Source organism: Homo sapiens, chromosome 11 (genome assembly GCF_000001405.40).
Source record: "Homo sapiens chromosome 11, GRCh38.p14 Primary Assembly".
In the NCBI taxonomy this organism is placed as follows: Eukaryota; Metazoa; Chordata; class Mammalia; order Primates; family Hominidae; genus Homo; species Homo sapiens.
In genome coordinates, this window is record NC_000011.10 from 113,373,809 (window position 1) to 113,374,424 (window position 616).

General features: G+C 47.6%; 1 annotated feature.

Moving 5' to 3' along the window:
• Positions 259 to 553: an enhancer, noted in NCBI's record as "tiled region #12815; HepG2 Activating non-DNase unmatched - State 23:Low". NCBI's record gives its function as "activates a minimal TATA promoter and a strong SV40 promoter by Sharpr-MPRA in HepG2 cells {active_cell/tissue: HepG2}" and the evidence as "EXISTENCE:reporter gene assay evidence [ECO:0000049][PMID:27701403]".

Sequence of the window (616 nt, forward strand, 5' to 3'; positions counted from 1 at the left end):
TCTGCACAACATCCCTGTGAGGTAGGTATTATTATTTCCCATTTGAAGCTAAGGGAAGACAGGCCCGGAGATCCAATATCTTGTCCAGAATTTCCTAAGGCTGAGCCAGTGCCAAAATCCAGCCTTTACCTTGAACCTCTCTGCCCGCTGCCTGGCCCTGTCTCTCCTTTCATTAATTTTCTGGTCCAAACTGCAACACAGTCAACTAGCTAGTTCTTTTCACCTGCTCCCTGAGTGCGAAGGGGAAAATGAAACTAACCCATTTAAGGTTTTATCAGAAAGCCTCGTTAATCCACCCGCAGTCTGTTAGATAACAGCTTAAATCTCTCCACTGCAAAGGATTACCTTCCCATCTGATCAGGCACAACACATTAGAGGAGGCGTGGGGTGGGCATGAGCGTGTGGAGGCCACGGCGCTTTCTCTGCAAAAATGGAGATATTCAAACTTCCGGATCTGCTGTCCTCCCCCAGATGGGCTAGGAGCCCAGCATCTGCCTGTACATCAAGCAGCTCCTCCGTGAAGTTACTTGAATGACAGCGTGTTCCTGAAAAGCTCCTCACTCACTCATTCATTCAATATATATTTGTCAGGCACCTACTATGTGCCAAGTATTGT